Source organism: Homo sapiens, chromosome 17 (genome assembly GCF_000001405.40).
Source record: "Homo sapiens chromosome 17, GRCh38.p14 Primary Assembly".
NCBI classification, from domain to species: Eukaryota; Metazoa; Chordata; class Mammalia; order Primates; family Hominidae; genus Homo; species Homo sapiens.
The window spans coordinates 82,031,448-82,044,950 of record NC_000017.11 but is presented as its reverse complement, the minus strand read 5'-3'; the positions used below and the strand labels follow the sequence as shown (position 1 = coordinate 82,044,950).

The window sequence follows — 13,503 nt, the reverse complement described above, 5'->3', positions numbered from 1 at the left end:
GCTACTCGGGAGGCTGAGGCAGGAGGATGGCTTGAGCCCAGGAAGTTGAGGCTACAGCAAGCTGTGATGGTGCCACTGCACTCCAGCCTTGTCAGTAATCAAAAAACTCCTGACAAGGAAAAGTCCTGGGCCTGATGGTTTCACTGGTACATTCTACCAAACATTTAAAGAAGAACTGGCCGGGTTTGGCCGGGCGTGGTGGCTCACTCCTGTAATCCCAGCACTTTGGGAGGCCGTGGCAGGCGGATCACAAGGTCAGGAGATCGAGACCATCCTGGCTAACACGGTGTAACCCCATCTCTACTAAAAATACAAAAAATTAGCTGGGCGAGGTGGCGGGCGCCTGTAGTCCCAGCTACTCAGGAGGCTGAGGCAGGAGAATGGCGTGAACCTGGGAGGCAGAGCTTGCAGTGAGCCAAGATCACGCCACTGCACTCCAGCCTGGGCAACAGAGCGAGACTCCGTCAAAAAAAAAAAAAAAAAAGAACTGGCCGGGTGCAGTGGCTCATGCCTGTAATCCCAGCACTTTGGGAGGCCAAGGCGGGCGTATCATCTTAGGTCAAGAGTTTGAGACCAGCCTGGCTAGGCATGGTGAAACCCTGTCTCTACTAAAAATACAAAAATTAGCAGGGCATCTGTAATCCCAGCTACTCAGGAGGCTGAGGCACGAGAGTCGCTTGAACCCGGGAGGTGGAGGTTGCAGCGAAGCAAGATTGCACTTTCACAGCAGGTGAAGGAAACGACGGGTGACAACAGAATGGCCAGGAAGGCCGTGGCTTGGAGTTCATTTTCCTACCCAGCACGTCCTCGCTATGCAGACGGCAAAACATGCGACCTCCCAAAGCCTGGGGTCTGAGCAATGAAGGACCTGCCTAGCCCATGCTGGGGGATCCACAGGCTTGGGCGCCCAGGCACAGGGCACATGGAGGTGGCGGGGAGGGCTCCTGGCTCTACTCCTGGGGCACCAAAGGCTCTGGGGGCAGGCTGAGTGTCTACACATGGCTTTCCATGGCCCTCAGAGGAGACCCTGTAGGAAACTTTCTCTGTAGCATCCGTGAGCTCAAATGCTCCTCCACGGCGGGGGGTGCTTATGGCAGGAAGGGCCTAGCACTGAGCCCACAGACACCCGCAGAGTCGATCATACCTCCCGGCCTTGGGCTCCCGGGGAAGCCTGAGCCCCATATCCTCCTCTCTGTAGGGACTACAGAGGCTCAGAAGGCCGGACGCGAACAGGAGGGCCCCACCCCCATCCGGTCGTCTTAGGAACAGTGGCCCCTGCTGTTGCCTCGCCACATGGGACCATCCTGAGAGCTGGAAGGACCGGCCAGCTGTCCCGTGGAAGATGGGAGCTGGGGGTTCTTAGGTCTTTTTGACCCCCTCATTGTCCAGAAGAATCAATATGGCCTTAGGGAGCCCTTGGCTTTCCTCCTGGAGCGGGAGCCTTTCCCCAGCCCCCACCTATGGTTGCTTTCCAGAGCTCAAGGCTCAGGCCCAGCTCCCAGCACCAGGTGCAAACCTGGCTCAGCCAGGAAGGCCAGCAGCCACCCAAGACCTGTAACCACGTTGGCCGCCTTCACCTGCTCTCCCCCAAGCTCAGCCTCATGGCCCAGCTTCAGGGAGCACCAGGGTCTGTCCCCTCCTGAGGGTGGCTCTCCTGCAGGAGGACTTGAGCCCAGGGACAGGGTCCTGGCCAACCCTGACTCCTAGCAGGGATCCTCACAGAGAGCAACATCGAAGCCGAAGCTGCTGATTTCCAGGGTCCTCTTTGCCACCATGGACCAGAGCGTGTGTGTCCGTGTGCGACTGTGTGTCTACACACATATTCACTTGTGCATGCCTGTGGGGGGTGTGGATACATATGTGTATACACGCATGTCTGTGGGCCTGTCAGCTGCAGTGCATGCACCCCCATGCTCAGGCCTGCATGTTCACATATGCTCCATGTGTGCACTTGTGTGGCTGCCTGGTCCATGCATTGCCATGTGTGCTCACGTGTGCATGCCCGTGTGTGCGTGTGTGTGTGTGTGTCCTGTGTGGCTGCTGTGCCATGGCATGCATGTGTCCCCGGGTGCACACACATGTCCCCGTGTGCATGCTCATGTGTGTCTACACCTGTGTGTGCCTGTGTCCCCGTGTGCATGCTGATGTGTGTGTCTACATCTGTGTGTGCCTGTGTCCCCATGTGCATGCTGATGTGTCTACACCCGTGTGTGTCTGTGTGTGTCCCCATGTGCATGCTCATGTGTGCCTACACCCGTGTATGCCTGTGTCCCCGTGTGAATGCTCATGTGTGTCTATGCCCATGTGTGCCTGTGTGTGTCCCTGTGTGTATGCCCAAGTGCTTGTGCTCACATTGGCATGTGCCTCTGCGTGTGTGCACACAGACATGAGGCCAGGAACAGGTGGCCTCTCCCTCCCAGGGTCCCCCGTGCTCTCTCTCAGTCATGCCTTCCTCCCACCTCTCCAGGAAGCCCCCTGTGCTCCCTCTGGCCCTGCCTGTGTGGTTCACATGCTACTGGCCTCCATTTAATGGTTTCACTGCAGCTGTGTCTCTGAGGGCTCAGTCTTTTTTTTTTTTTTTTTTTTTTGAGATGGCGTCTCGCTCTATCACCCAGGCTGGAGGGCAGTGGCGGGATCTCGGCTCGCTCCAAGCTCCGCCTCCCAGGTTCACGCCATTCTCCTGCCTCAGCCTCCCAAGTAGCTGGGACTACAGGCACCCACCAACAGGCCCAGCTAATTTTTTGTATTTTTAGTAGAGACGGGGTTTCACTGTGTTAGTCAGGATGGTCTCGATCTCCTGACCTCGTGATCCGCCCGCCTCGGCCTCCCAAAGTGCTGGGATTACAGGCATGAGCCACCGCGCCCAGCCTTATTTTAAAAAAATTTTTTTAAAACTTTTTATTTTTTATTTTTTTTTGAGACGGAGTTTCACTCTGGTCACCCAGGCTGGAGTGCAATGGTGCGATCTTGGCTCACTGCAACCTCCGCCTCCCAGGTTCAAATCATTCTCTTGACTCAGCTGCCTGAGTAGCTGGGATTACAGGCACGTGCCACCACATCCAGCTGATTTTTGTATTTTTAGTAGAGACGGAGTTTCACCACGCTGGCCAGGCTGGTCTCAAACTCCTCACCTCAGGTGATCCACTGGCCTTGGCCTCCTGAAGTGCCTTTGTTCTCCTTTTTGCCCTTTGAAGCATGTGATCTCTGTGACCTACTCCCTGTTCTTGCACCCCCTCCCCTTTCAAAATCCTTAATAAAAACCTGCTGGTTTTGCGGCTCAGGCGGGCATCAGGGTCCCACCGATATGTGATGTCGCCCTGGGAGGCCCAGCTGTAAAAGTCCTCTCTTTGTACTCTTTCTCTTCATTTCTCAGCCAGCCAACACTTATGGAAAATAGAAAGAACCTACATTGAAATACTGGGGGCTGGTTCCCCCGATATCTGGCGCGCCAACGTGGCTTTTCTTTTTCCTGAGTGCATGTGGGGACCCGCTTCCCTTTGGTAGTTGTGTAGAAACGTTCATCGGTCCGGTTCACAGAAATGCTTGTTCGACTCAAAAAAAAAAACCAAAACTGACTCATATGGTTTAGTAATAGACTGGGTACCAAAGGGCTATTTAAAAAACAATTGCTCCTGTGGCGGGAGGGAATGCCTGGAGGCTACTTGTTTTATTTCTTATTGGAAGAACGAGGATCATCATTTTACTTTGTATAGGAGGTTCAGCTCTTTCTTTCCCTTAAAATGGGAAAATAAGGACATTGTCCCCCGAGGGCTCGTGTGATACTCCCCATTCTGAGCTCAGAACACCCAGAACTTTGAAAATTGGCTCTTGCCACATCCAGACTGCGAGTATGGGAAGGGGAAACTTTTCTGTCTGTTGTCCCTGCTACCGCCCCTCGCGTCCGTGATTCTGAACCCCATGATAAATCTCCTTTGAACCCTTTTCCTCTTTTTGATGCCAGTCCTCTTTTATGGGACTCCAATTGGCATTACGATAATTTTTCTCAACCCAGGTATGCCACTCTACCTCTTCAGCATCCCCGGGCACCTCAAATTGCTTTTTTTTTTTTTTTTTTTTTTGAGACGGAGTCTCGCTCTGTCGCCCAGGCTGGAGTGCAGTGGTGCGATCTCGGCTCACTGCAAGCTCCGCCTCCCGGGTTCACGCCATTCTCCTGCCCCAGCCTCCCGAGTAGCTGGGACTACAGGCGCCCGCCACCACGCCCGGCTAATTTTTTGTACCTTTAGTAGAGACGGGGTTTCACCGTGTTAGTCAGGATGGTCTCGATCTCCTGACCTCGTGATCCACCCGCCTCAGCCTCCCAAAGTGCTGGGATTACAGGGGTGAGCTACCGCGCCCGGCCCTTCAAATTGCTTTTTGACAGCGGATAACATCGGGTGTGGCCACCACTGCTCCTCTCCCTCAGTATCAGTGTAGATTCAGACATTCTGCTTTGTTCACCTCCAATGTGACTATTCCTATAGAGTTGTGTTAAGCTTCGTTATATGCTGTTAGTGGGGAATATCAAAATTTGGACGAACAATCAAACTATCCAATGTATTAATTGTCATTTATATACTTGTGTTAACTCCCGTTTTGACTCTAGGAAAAGTGTAATGTTGGTTCGAGCTCGAGAAGGAATCTGGATACTGGTAACTTTACCCAGACCTTGGGAATCTTCCAAAGCTGGGCAAGAGGGCAGAGGGCTAGGGGCCAGGATCGGGCCCTCCAGGCAGTGGTTGGGAGGGCACAGGGCACAGGGTGGGGGTAGGGGATGCCGAGGGTGCTTCTGACCAGCCAGCAGGACTCACAGGGAGCAGGGCTTGAGCCACGGATAACAGGACCAGTGAGGCCTGGTCCACTCTCCTGGGGGCACGTGCAGGCCGCTGGAGGGGTCTAAGCAGATGGGCCTTCCAGGAAGGACAGGTTGAGGGGTGTCCTTCCCTTGGCTGCTGGCAGGCAGAAAGCAGGCTCCAAGGGTAGGGGCAGAAAGCAGAGTTTACAGGGCGGCCAAGGGGGGGTTGGACTGGCCGCAGTGCCAGGTCTGATATGGACCATGCACTTGGCTGTCCTCCAGAACAAACCAGGACCTTGCCTCCTGCTGTGCCTGGCCACCCTTGCCTCCGGCCTGTCCACCTCTGTGGGCCCAAAGCCCCAGATGATCCAAAGGCCCTACAGTCACCAATTCCATACTCCTGGCCACAGAAGGTCACTCCTGGCCACAGAAGGGCAGTAGTTCTAGACTTTCCTACCATGACCCACAGAACAAAGTAGCTTTTACATGGAGGCCCAGTGTGTGGGTGCACACACACACGCATCTGTAACTGACCCCAAAGCCTCGGGAAGCAATGCTGGTCTTTGCTGGACCACCATGTACTTCCATGACCCCAATCCCTTCCTATCCTATTCAACTTCTAAAAGGTGCCCCTGGCCGGATGCTGGCTGTCCAAGGTGACCTGGGGTTCAAGTCCCTTTCAGATGAATGTAGGGTACAGCCCTATGGGGCTTAGCAGGTCTTCTCCCCGTGTGCGGAGACACGAGATTGTGAGAAATAAAGACACAAGACAAAGAGATAAAGAGAGAACAGCTGGGCCCGGGGGACCACTACCATCAAGACACGGAGACCAGTAGTGGCCCCGAATGGCTGGGCGCACTGATATTTATTGCATACAAGACAAGGAGGGCAGGGTAAGGAGGGTGAATCTTCCAAGTGATTGACAAGGTGAAGCAAGTCACGTGATCATAGGACAGGGGGCGCTTCCCTTTTAGGTAGCTGAAACAGAAAGAGAAGACCATACATCAGCGCTTTCTTCTATGTACTTATAAGAAAGATCAAAGACTTTAAGACTTTCACTATTTCTTCTACTGCTATCTACTACGAACTTCAAAGAGGAACCAGGAGTACGGGAGGAACATGGAAGTGGACAAGAAATGTGACCATTAAATCATAGCACCACAGGGAGGGGGTTAGGCCTCCGGATGACTGCGGGCAGGCCTGGATAACATCCAGCCTCCCACAAGAAGCTGGTGGAGCAGAGTGTTCCCTGACGCCTCCAAGGAAAGGAGACTCCCCTTCGCAGTCTTCTAAGTAACGGGTGGCTTCCCAGACAACGGCATTACTGCTTGACCAAGGAGCCCTCAAGCAGCCCTTATGCGGGAGTGACAGAGGGCTCACCTCTTGCCTTCTAGGTCACTTCTCACAATGTCCCTAGGTTATATTAGTAATGCAACAAAGAGTAATATTAAAAGCTAATGATTAATAATGTTTATACTAATGATTGATAATTATCCATGATCATGATCATTTTTATATCTAATTTGTATTATGACTATTTTTATTTTAACTGTTTTTTTTTTAAAGATGGAGTCTTGCTCTGTCGCCCAGGCTGGAGTGCAGTGGCGCAATCTCGGCTCACTGCAAGCTCCGCCTCCTGGGTTCGCGCCATTCTCCTGCCTCAGCCTCCTGAGTAGCTGGGACTACAGGTGCCCGCCACCGCGCCCGGCTAATTTTTTGTATTTTTAGTAGAGATGGGGTTTCACCGTGTTAGCCAGGATGGTCTCGATCTCCTGACCTCGTGATCCACCCGCCTCGGCCTCCCAAAGTGCTGGGATTACAGGCGTGAGCCACCGCTCCCGGCCTATTTTCTTTGTTATACTGAAACAGTTTGTGTCTTCAGTCTCTTGCCTTGGCATCTAGGTAATCCTTCGCCCACAGATGAAAGCGGAGCTCTGCTGACATTGGTGTCTTCTCCAGACGTAGTTGGTTGTCCAAATTCTTTCCCTTGGCTTTAAAGTGAGCCGGCGGTGTCCTGCTCCCAAGCCTGAGAGATGATGGGCACAGGCGACACTTTTTAGGACATGCCGATGTTTTCAGAAACAAAACAAGAAATGTTAGCCCTGAAATTCTCCATTTCACGTGTTCTTCCTGATATTAACCACACATTCTTTCCGATATTAACCACCACATCGTCTTTTTGCAATAATCTTGGCAGGGAAAAATATGCTAGCCAGGGTCCACTACGTCGATTTCAAGCACGGAAGATGGGTCACACCAGGCACTTCAAAAGACCCGTCCCTGAGGCAGCGGAGACCCCGCCCCGCCCCGGCGCGCCCACTCCTTTCGGCCAATCACTGCAGCGGGGAGCAGCTATTTGAATGTCCCCACCGCCTATCTGAAGGCCGCCCTGCCATTGGCCCCGCCGCGCCCCGCCCATCGTGGCCAGAGCTTCAAGTTCCGCAGCCCCAGTGCGGAGGGCGGAGACTGCGCCGACATGGAGCTGTTCCTCGCGGGCCGCCGGGTGCTGGTCACCGGGGCAGGCAAAGGTGGGCGGCGGGGAAAGGTGGGCAAAGGCCGGCGGCGGGCAGAGGCGGGCAGGGGACGCCTTCACTGAGCCCGCTCCCGGCAGGTATAGGGCGCGGCACGGTCCAGGCGCTGCACGCGACGGGCGCGCGGGTGGTGGCTGTGAGCCGGACTCAGGCGGATCTTGACAGCCTTGTCCGCGAGGTAGGTCCCGCCGGGTCCCAGCGCTGCGAGGCGGCGAGCCAGGAGGGGGCGGCAGCGAGCGGGGGCGGTACCTCTGTGCGCGACTCCGCCTCCCCTCGCGGGCGCTGCGCTTCTCACCGCGGCCTGGGCGCCCGCGCACCCTCTCTCGGGGCTGGTGGCCTGCGTGGGCGGCCGGGTGGTCGGCAGAGCCGCCGGGGCCCCCGGGCTCAGAAAGAGGCCGAAATGGCTGCGAAGCAGGCCCCGGGCAGGAGTCGCTCGGGCGCAGGGAGGAAGTGAACCGGCCGGAGGTAGCGCCCGGCTGCTGGCCCCACAGTCCCGACACCTTCGGAACTCCTAACTCCTTTACTTGTCCGGCTGAAAGGTCACCAGCCCCAGTCCCCAGCTGTGCCGCTTGCTGGGCACAGAGCCTCTGGTAACTGCCCCCTGATACACACAGTGCCCGGGGATAGAACCCGTGTGCGTGGACCTGGGTGACTGGGAGGCCACCGAGCGGGCGCTGGGCAGCGTGGGCCCCGTGGACCTGCTGGTGAACAACGCCGCTGTCGCCCTGCTGCAGCCCTTCCTGGAGGTCACCAAGGAGGCCTTTGACAGGTGAGCCTGTGAGGGCGGAGGAACCTCAGGGAGGGGCTGTCCTGGAGGACGCAGCAGCCCTAATCTCTGACCAGGGTCTGTCCCTCGGCCTCTAGATCCTTTGAGGTGAACCTGCGTGCGGTCATCCAGGTGTCGCAGGTGAGCTGCCCTGTGGGCTGGACGGGAATTCTCGTGAGTGATGCCAGCTCTGCCTCACGGTCTCGCTGCGATTCCAGATTGTGGCCAGGGGCTTAATAGCCCGGGGAGTCCCAGGGGCCATCGTGAATGTCTCCAGCCAGTGCTCCCAGCGGGCAGTAACTAACCATAGCGTCTACTGTGAGTGCCCCAGCTGTGCCCTCAGCCCCACCCCAGCCCCAGCCTCGCCCTCATCACCGACCCCAGCCCCAGCCAGCTTGGGTTCCTCTTCGTAGGCTCCACCAAGGGTGCCCTGGACATGCTGACCAAGGTGATGGCCCTAGAGCTCGGGCCCCACAAGGTGAGCAGGGCTGGGGTACCTCCCCCAACCTAGGACACCCCACTTGCCCTGCTGACCCCAGCTGTCCCGGTGTAGATCCGAGTGAATGCAGTAAACCCCACAGTGGTGATGACGTCCATGGGCCAGGCCACCTGGAGTGACCCCCACAAGGCCAAGACTATGCTGAACCGAATCCCACTTGGCAAGTTTGCTGGTGAGTCAGGTGGGAGCCCAGCCAGCGTGGTGCCAGCAGTCCCTGTGTGTGCCCTGGGTAGGGGTGGGAGGGAAAGATGGGCGGCAGCCTCCTTCCTCTATGCCCCTGACCCCCGCCCTGCCCACAGAGGTAGAGCACGTGGTGAACGCCATCCTCTTTCTGCTGAGTGACCGAAGTGGCATGACCACGGGTTCCACTTTGCCGGTGGAAGGGGGCTTCTGGGCCTGCTGAGCTCCCTCCACACACCTCAAGCCCCATGCCGTGCTCATCCTACCCCCAATCCCTCCAATAAACCTGATTCTGCTGCCCAGACTATGTGCTATTCCTAGGCTGCCAGCAGGTAGCTGGGGGCTTGGGGCCAGGTGTGGAACGCGGGCAGAGACCCATGACATTCACATTCCAATCCAAGGGGGAGCGTGGCTCCCACTCCTGAGGTTTTCAGGCCTGGCCAGTTCTCTGTCAGGGAGGTGGGAGGTGGTGAAAGGTCACCTCCCAAAGAGGGTGGTGAATTTCAGCAAGGTTGGCCTTCGGGCCTGTCCAGAACCTCTGGGGTGAGACGGTGTGTGCATGTGAGTGTTGATGGCCCCCTCTGTGAGTGTACAGTTGGCTCCTCTTCCTTCAAGCTAATGAGTAAGACAAAAGGGAAACAAGGAGAACGTCAAGCTTCTCCACTTCGTCGGTGATCTGAGCCACTTTGTTGAATCAGATGATGGTTTTCGGAAACTAGAAGAGCGTTTCCTCAACTTGTGCTATTCACAATGTAATGAGCATAGACACAGCACCCTGAAGTCTAATCTGCATTTTATCATCTGAAGTCTAGACAAGTAACCATAAGTCAAGCCTCCTCCCACCACGGCTGATTTCAAGCTACCAGTTAGATGTCATTTAACGTGGAGCTGGAGGAGATGCCCTCAGCACCCTGTTATGTGGTGTTTGTGTCCATAGGTCCCACAGATGTACATAACCGAGGGGCAGAGAAAACAGTCGTGTATGCAGAAATAAGTAGGAAGTGACGTTTGCCGATTTTGCTTTTAATAACACAAATTGTAAGCTTCTATAATTTGTTAATGATCATTAACAACTGGCTAGCAAAATTGTTGAGAATTCAGCAGTTGGCTTTCCTGAGCCAGTAGGAGCTGCCCCCACACAGCACAAGGCGGAAGCAGACAGTGGCCCTCATGGCACCCCCCAATCCCGAGTGACTCTAATCCCGGGACCATGGCTCCCTCCAACCCCGAGTGACTCCAATCCTGGAACCTCATGGCACCTTCCAATCCCGAGTGACTCCAATCCCGGGACCTCATGGCACCCTCCAATCCCGAGTGACTCCAATCCCGGGACCTCATGGCACCCTCCAATCCCGAGTGACTCCAATCCCGGGACCATGGCTCCGGGCCCACTGATTCTGGCTTCAGCGTCAGCGGACTGTGCTGGGTCACTGCTCTCTTCACTCTCCACACCACACCCCGACCCCCGCGCCCTCCTCCACCCTGCCCCTCTGCCTGGATTGCCCTTACTCCCGGTGCCAGCCAGAGGAGTTGAGGGATGCGGGGAGCCTGCCTCGGCTCCCACGAGGCTCAGAGAGGCCTGACCTGCTTCAGCCTCTTTTCAGACCTTCCCGGTCAGCACAACAGGCGCTGCCTGAGAACTGGCCCGCCTCTCCCCACCCCTCCCTGACATGTGCCCTCCCAGAGGCACAAATCAGCCTGAGGGAGGCCTTGTACACAGCCAAGTAATCATCCCTAGGGCTCAATGCACTAGCTATTGCTTTGATCTGGGTCGGCTCCTTTGGGGGGCTGAGCAGCTCAGCAGGCCCCCTCTTCCCCTGGGGTAGGGTGGAGGAAGCTTAGTGCTGCCTTTGGGAACTCAGCTCTGAAGTGCGGCTGGGGTCGGCTGGGGTGTGATGGACCCGCTCTGCACCATCACAGAGGGGAATTAGGAGCAAACCGCCCCAGGACAGAAGGGCAGGTAGTGAGAGGCAAGAGGTGTAGGTGGAGAATGTTTATTGTATAAAATGAGAAGGGGCTGCCCCACCTCGGGGCACAAGGAACAGAACTCCCCCCCACCCTCCCCCTCCAGGGAAGCCCATCCTGGGGCTTCCCTGCACCTGCCCCTGCAGCCCTGAGGGAGACCCTGCTCCCTCCCGGCCTCCGGCGGGGGCCAGGGAAGGCTGGAGCCACACCCCAGAATGAGGCGGCAGAGAGGACAGGATCCTGCCACCCAGCCTCATCCCCATGCTTCCCCCCGGCCCACCCCCACCGCTCCCCACAGCCGACTCAGGGACACCACACGTCTCAACACAACAGCGGACACGTCCAGGGCTGCTCCCCGCCAGCCCTCAGGCTCGGGTGGGCCAGGGCTCTAGAAGACGGTGCACTTCTTCCCCGGCTTCTTCACTGGGGGCGGGCAGAGCACCGCGCGGATCGCCTCGTCAAACACTGTCTTCAGGCCCCGCTGGGTCAGGGCTGAGCACTCCAGGTATTTCACAGAGCCTAGCGGCAGTGAGGAGGGGAGACAGTGAGGGTGGGGTACAGGGAGGCCCTTACTGCGCCTCCCCACCCCTCCCCTGCAGGCCGCCAGCGCCTACCCACCAATCTCCCGGGCCATGGCCAGGCCCTGTGGGTAGGTGATGGGTGCCAGCTTCTTGTCCCGCAGCCGCTCAATGGTGTCCTTGTCGTCGCGGAGGTCCAGCTTGGTGCCCACCAGGAGGATGGGCGTGTGGGGGCAGTGGTGCCGCACCTCCGGGTACCACTGCAGGGACAGACGCTCTGATCCCTAGGCCCGGAGTCGGCTACCCCAGCCCCACCTGAGCAAGTCACGGCCCTCAGGGACTTTCCCCACTGTTCCAGAGCTACACTTGGCTCTTCTTCCTTCAAGGGGTGACCAGGGGCGGATTTGGTGGGGAGATACCAGGAACAAACACGCAGCCAGGGAACCTGGAGACCTCCCAGGGCCTCCTAGTCAAGGCCCATCCCCAGCAGCCAGAGCCCTCAGAACCCTCCATTCTGAGAGCTGTGACCACCACCACGGCACCCCATCAGCCCCCATGGTCATCTTCAGACCCCACTCCGTGTGCCTACCCCAGGCAGAACCCGTATCGCAATTGCCTCTAAAGGACAACTTGTCGGGGCAGGTACTGGGGCAAGCCCTCTCCCCACAGGGGCCCCCAGCCTTGCCCTACCTTGGCACGAACATTCTCGAAGGAGGCCGGGCTCACCAGAGAGAAGCAGATCAGAAAGACGTCCTTGGGAAAAAGGTGGGACCTGGTGGAGTGGTCAGGGGCTCCCCAGGGCCCTGCTCCCTCCCTTGTGCGGATCTCAGGGACCCCCCCAGCTCCCGGGGCTGGCCCCATTGTTACGTACAGTTTGGGGGTAGGAGAGTGGCCGCAGCCGATCGTAGTCCTCCTGACCCGCTGTGTCCCACAGCCCCAAGTTGACTGGTTTCCCGTCCACCATCACGTTGGCAGAGTAGTTGTCAAAACTGCAGAGCAGTGAGGGCAGGGTCAGGGCTTGGGAGGGGTCCCAGAAACCCCCAGCCCTGCTGGCCTGTGTCTTGGGGTTCACAAGTCTGCACAGAACTAGAACTCTGGCCAGCACCTCAGCTCCAGCCGGGAAGCCCAGAGACAGGGCCACCTGAGCCGACGTGGAAGCCCAGAGGAGACCCTGCCCGTGTCCCCCCCATGCCACACTCACACGGAGGGCCTGTGCTCTCCCGGGAAGCCCCCACACTCACACGGTGGGGATGTACTCTCCGGGGAAGGCGTTGGTCGTGTAGCTGATCAGCAAGCATGTCTTCCCCACGGCGCTGCGGACAGGGCAAGCCACGTGGCTCCCGGGCCCGGCCTCGGACCCTCTGCCCAGCAAGGGCAGCCCCCTCTCCCGGAGCCAGAGGCGAGTTAGGGGCGTCTGGGGTCGAGAGGGGGACCCAGCCCACCAGATCCGTGGCGACCTAAGGCTGGAGGACGACCTGGGCAGGCCGGGCTCCGGGGGCTGGGGTGGTGAATAAGGGCGCAGGGCGCCCCACACTGGGGCCCCAGGCAGAGGCCCCGACTCCGAGGGTGGCGGCAGGAGAGGGTGGGGCCGGCTGAGGGTTCAGCCCAGGTGAGAGGCCTGGCCCCACCCACTGGGAGGACAGGGCGGCGGCCCCGCCTCGCCCGCAGCCAGCCCAAGCGGGAGCCGGGCAGCATCAGGTGGGCCCGAGCTGGAGGCCCGCGGACCCCGCCCCGCCCCACCCCGCCCTCCTCGACCCCGGGGCGCACGCGGCTCGGGCGGGGTACGGCGGGGCCGCCTCGCGAGGACCCGGGCGCCACCCCCGCCCCGCCCCGGCTGCGCCCCGAGCCCCCGAGCCCCCCTCCCGCCCAGCCCAGCCAAGCGGCCTCCGGGCCGCGCACTCACCCGTCGCCGACCACCACGCACTTGATGGCCTGCATGGGCGCGGGCCGGGCGGCGGCGGGCGCGGCCGCGAGCCGAGCTGCGGAGAAATGCCCGGCGCCGCAGCGGCCGCGGACCCGAGCGCCGAGCGATCGGCCGGAGACAGCCGAGCGCCGCCGAGCGCCGGGCGCGGAGACAGCCGAGCGCGGCCGGCGGGGGGCGGGGGGCGGGGGCGGGGGCGGGCGGGGGGCGCCCGGCCGCGCGGCTGGCGGGGCGGGGCCGCCCGAACCCGGGCAGAGCTGCGCGAGCTGCGGCGCCCCCGCCTCCAGCGCGACCCCGGCCCGGGGGTCTCCTACGGGTCCCTCGGGGCGCA

General features: G+C 58.9%; 2 protein-coding genes and 1 long non-coding RNA gene across 6 annotated transcripts, besides 3 other annotated features; 1 reads left to right on the top strand and 2 right to left on the bottom strand.

Moving 5' to 3' along the window:
* On the bottom strand, positions 5,571–7,033 carry DCXR-DT (DCXR divergent transcript). 2 transcript variants are annotated; one of them, NR_159947.1, is made up of 2 exons: positions 6,538–7,033; positions 5,571–5,770 (listed from the first exon to the last, which is right to left on the bottom strand). It is a non-coding gene; the product is annotated as a DCXR divergent transcript (long non-coding RNA). The 2 variants fall into 2 exon arrangements; NR_159948.1 differs by having other exon boundaries at positions 6,683–7,033.
* Positions 7,034–7,863: a silencer, noted in NCBI's record as "silent region_9184". NCBI's record gives its function as "represses an Ori minimal core promoter by ATAC-STARR-seq in GM12878 lymphoblastoid cells {active_cell/tissue: GM12878}" and the evidence as "EXISTENCE:reporter gene assay evidence [ECO:0000049][PMID:35858748]".
* Positions 7,254–9,093, top strand: DCXR (dicarbonyl and L-xylulose reductase). 2 transcript variants are annotated; one of them, NM_016286.4, is made up of 8 exons: positions 7,254–7,320; positions 7,404–7,501; positions 7,938–8,092; positions 8,188–8,230; positions 8,308–8,407; positions 8,503–8,567; positions 8,643–8,760; positions 8,888–9,093. In NM_016286.4, exons 1-8 carry the CDS (start codon positions 7,269–7,271, stop codon positions 8,989–8,991), a joined length of 735 nt encoding a protein of 244 aa, NP_057370.1. In that variant the 5' UTR covers positions 7,254–7,268; the 3' UTR covers positions 8,992–9,093. The 2 variants fall into 2 exon arrangements, with proteins under 2 accessions (NP_057370.1, NP_001182147.1); NM_001195218.1 differs by having other exon boundaries at positions 7,410–7,501; positions 8,888–9,070.
* On the bottom strand, positions 10,747–13,273 carry RAC3 (Rac family small GTPase 3). 2 transcript variants are annotated; one of them, NM_001316307.2, is made up of 6 exons: positions 13,155–13,273; positions 12,493–12,564; positions 12,123–12,240; positions 11,942–12,004; positions 11,348–11,511; positions 10,747–11,252 (listed from the first exon to the last, which is right to left on the bottom strand). In NM_001316307.2, the coding sequence occupies exons 1-6, from the start codon at positions 13,187–13,189 to the stop codon at positions 11,192–11,194; spliced, it is 513 nt and encodes a 170-aa protein (NP_001303236.1). In that variant the 5' UTR covers positions 13,190–13,273; the 3' UTR covers positions 10,747–11,191. The 2 variants fall into 2 exon arrangements, with proteins under 2 accessions (NP_001303236.1, NP_005043.1); NM_005052.3 differs by having other exon boundaries at positions 11,352–11,511.
* Positions 12,838–12,997: a silencer, noted in NCBI's record as "silent region_9183". NCBI's record gives its function as "represses an Ori minimal core promoter by ATAC-STARR-seq in GM12878 lymphoblastoid cells {active_cell/tissue: GM12878}" and the evidence as "EXISTENCE:reporter gene assay evidence [ECO:0000049][PMID:35858748]".
* Positions 13,198–13,277: a silencer, noted in NCBI's record as "silent region_9182". NCBI's record gives its function as "represses an Ori minimal core promoter by ATAC-STARR-seq in GM12878 lymphoblastoid cells {active_cell/tissue: GM12878}" and the evidence as "EXISTENCE:reporter gene assay evidence [ECO:0000049][PMID:35858748]".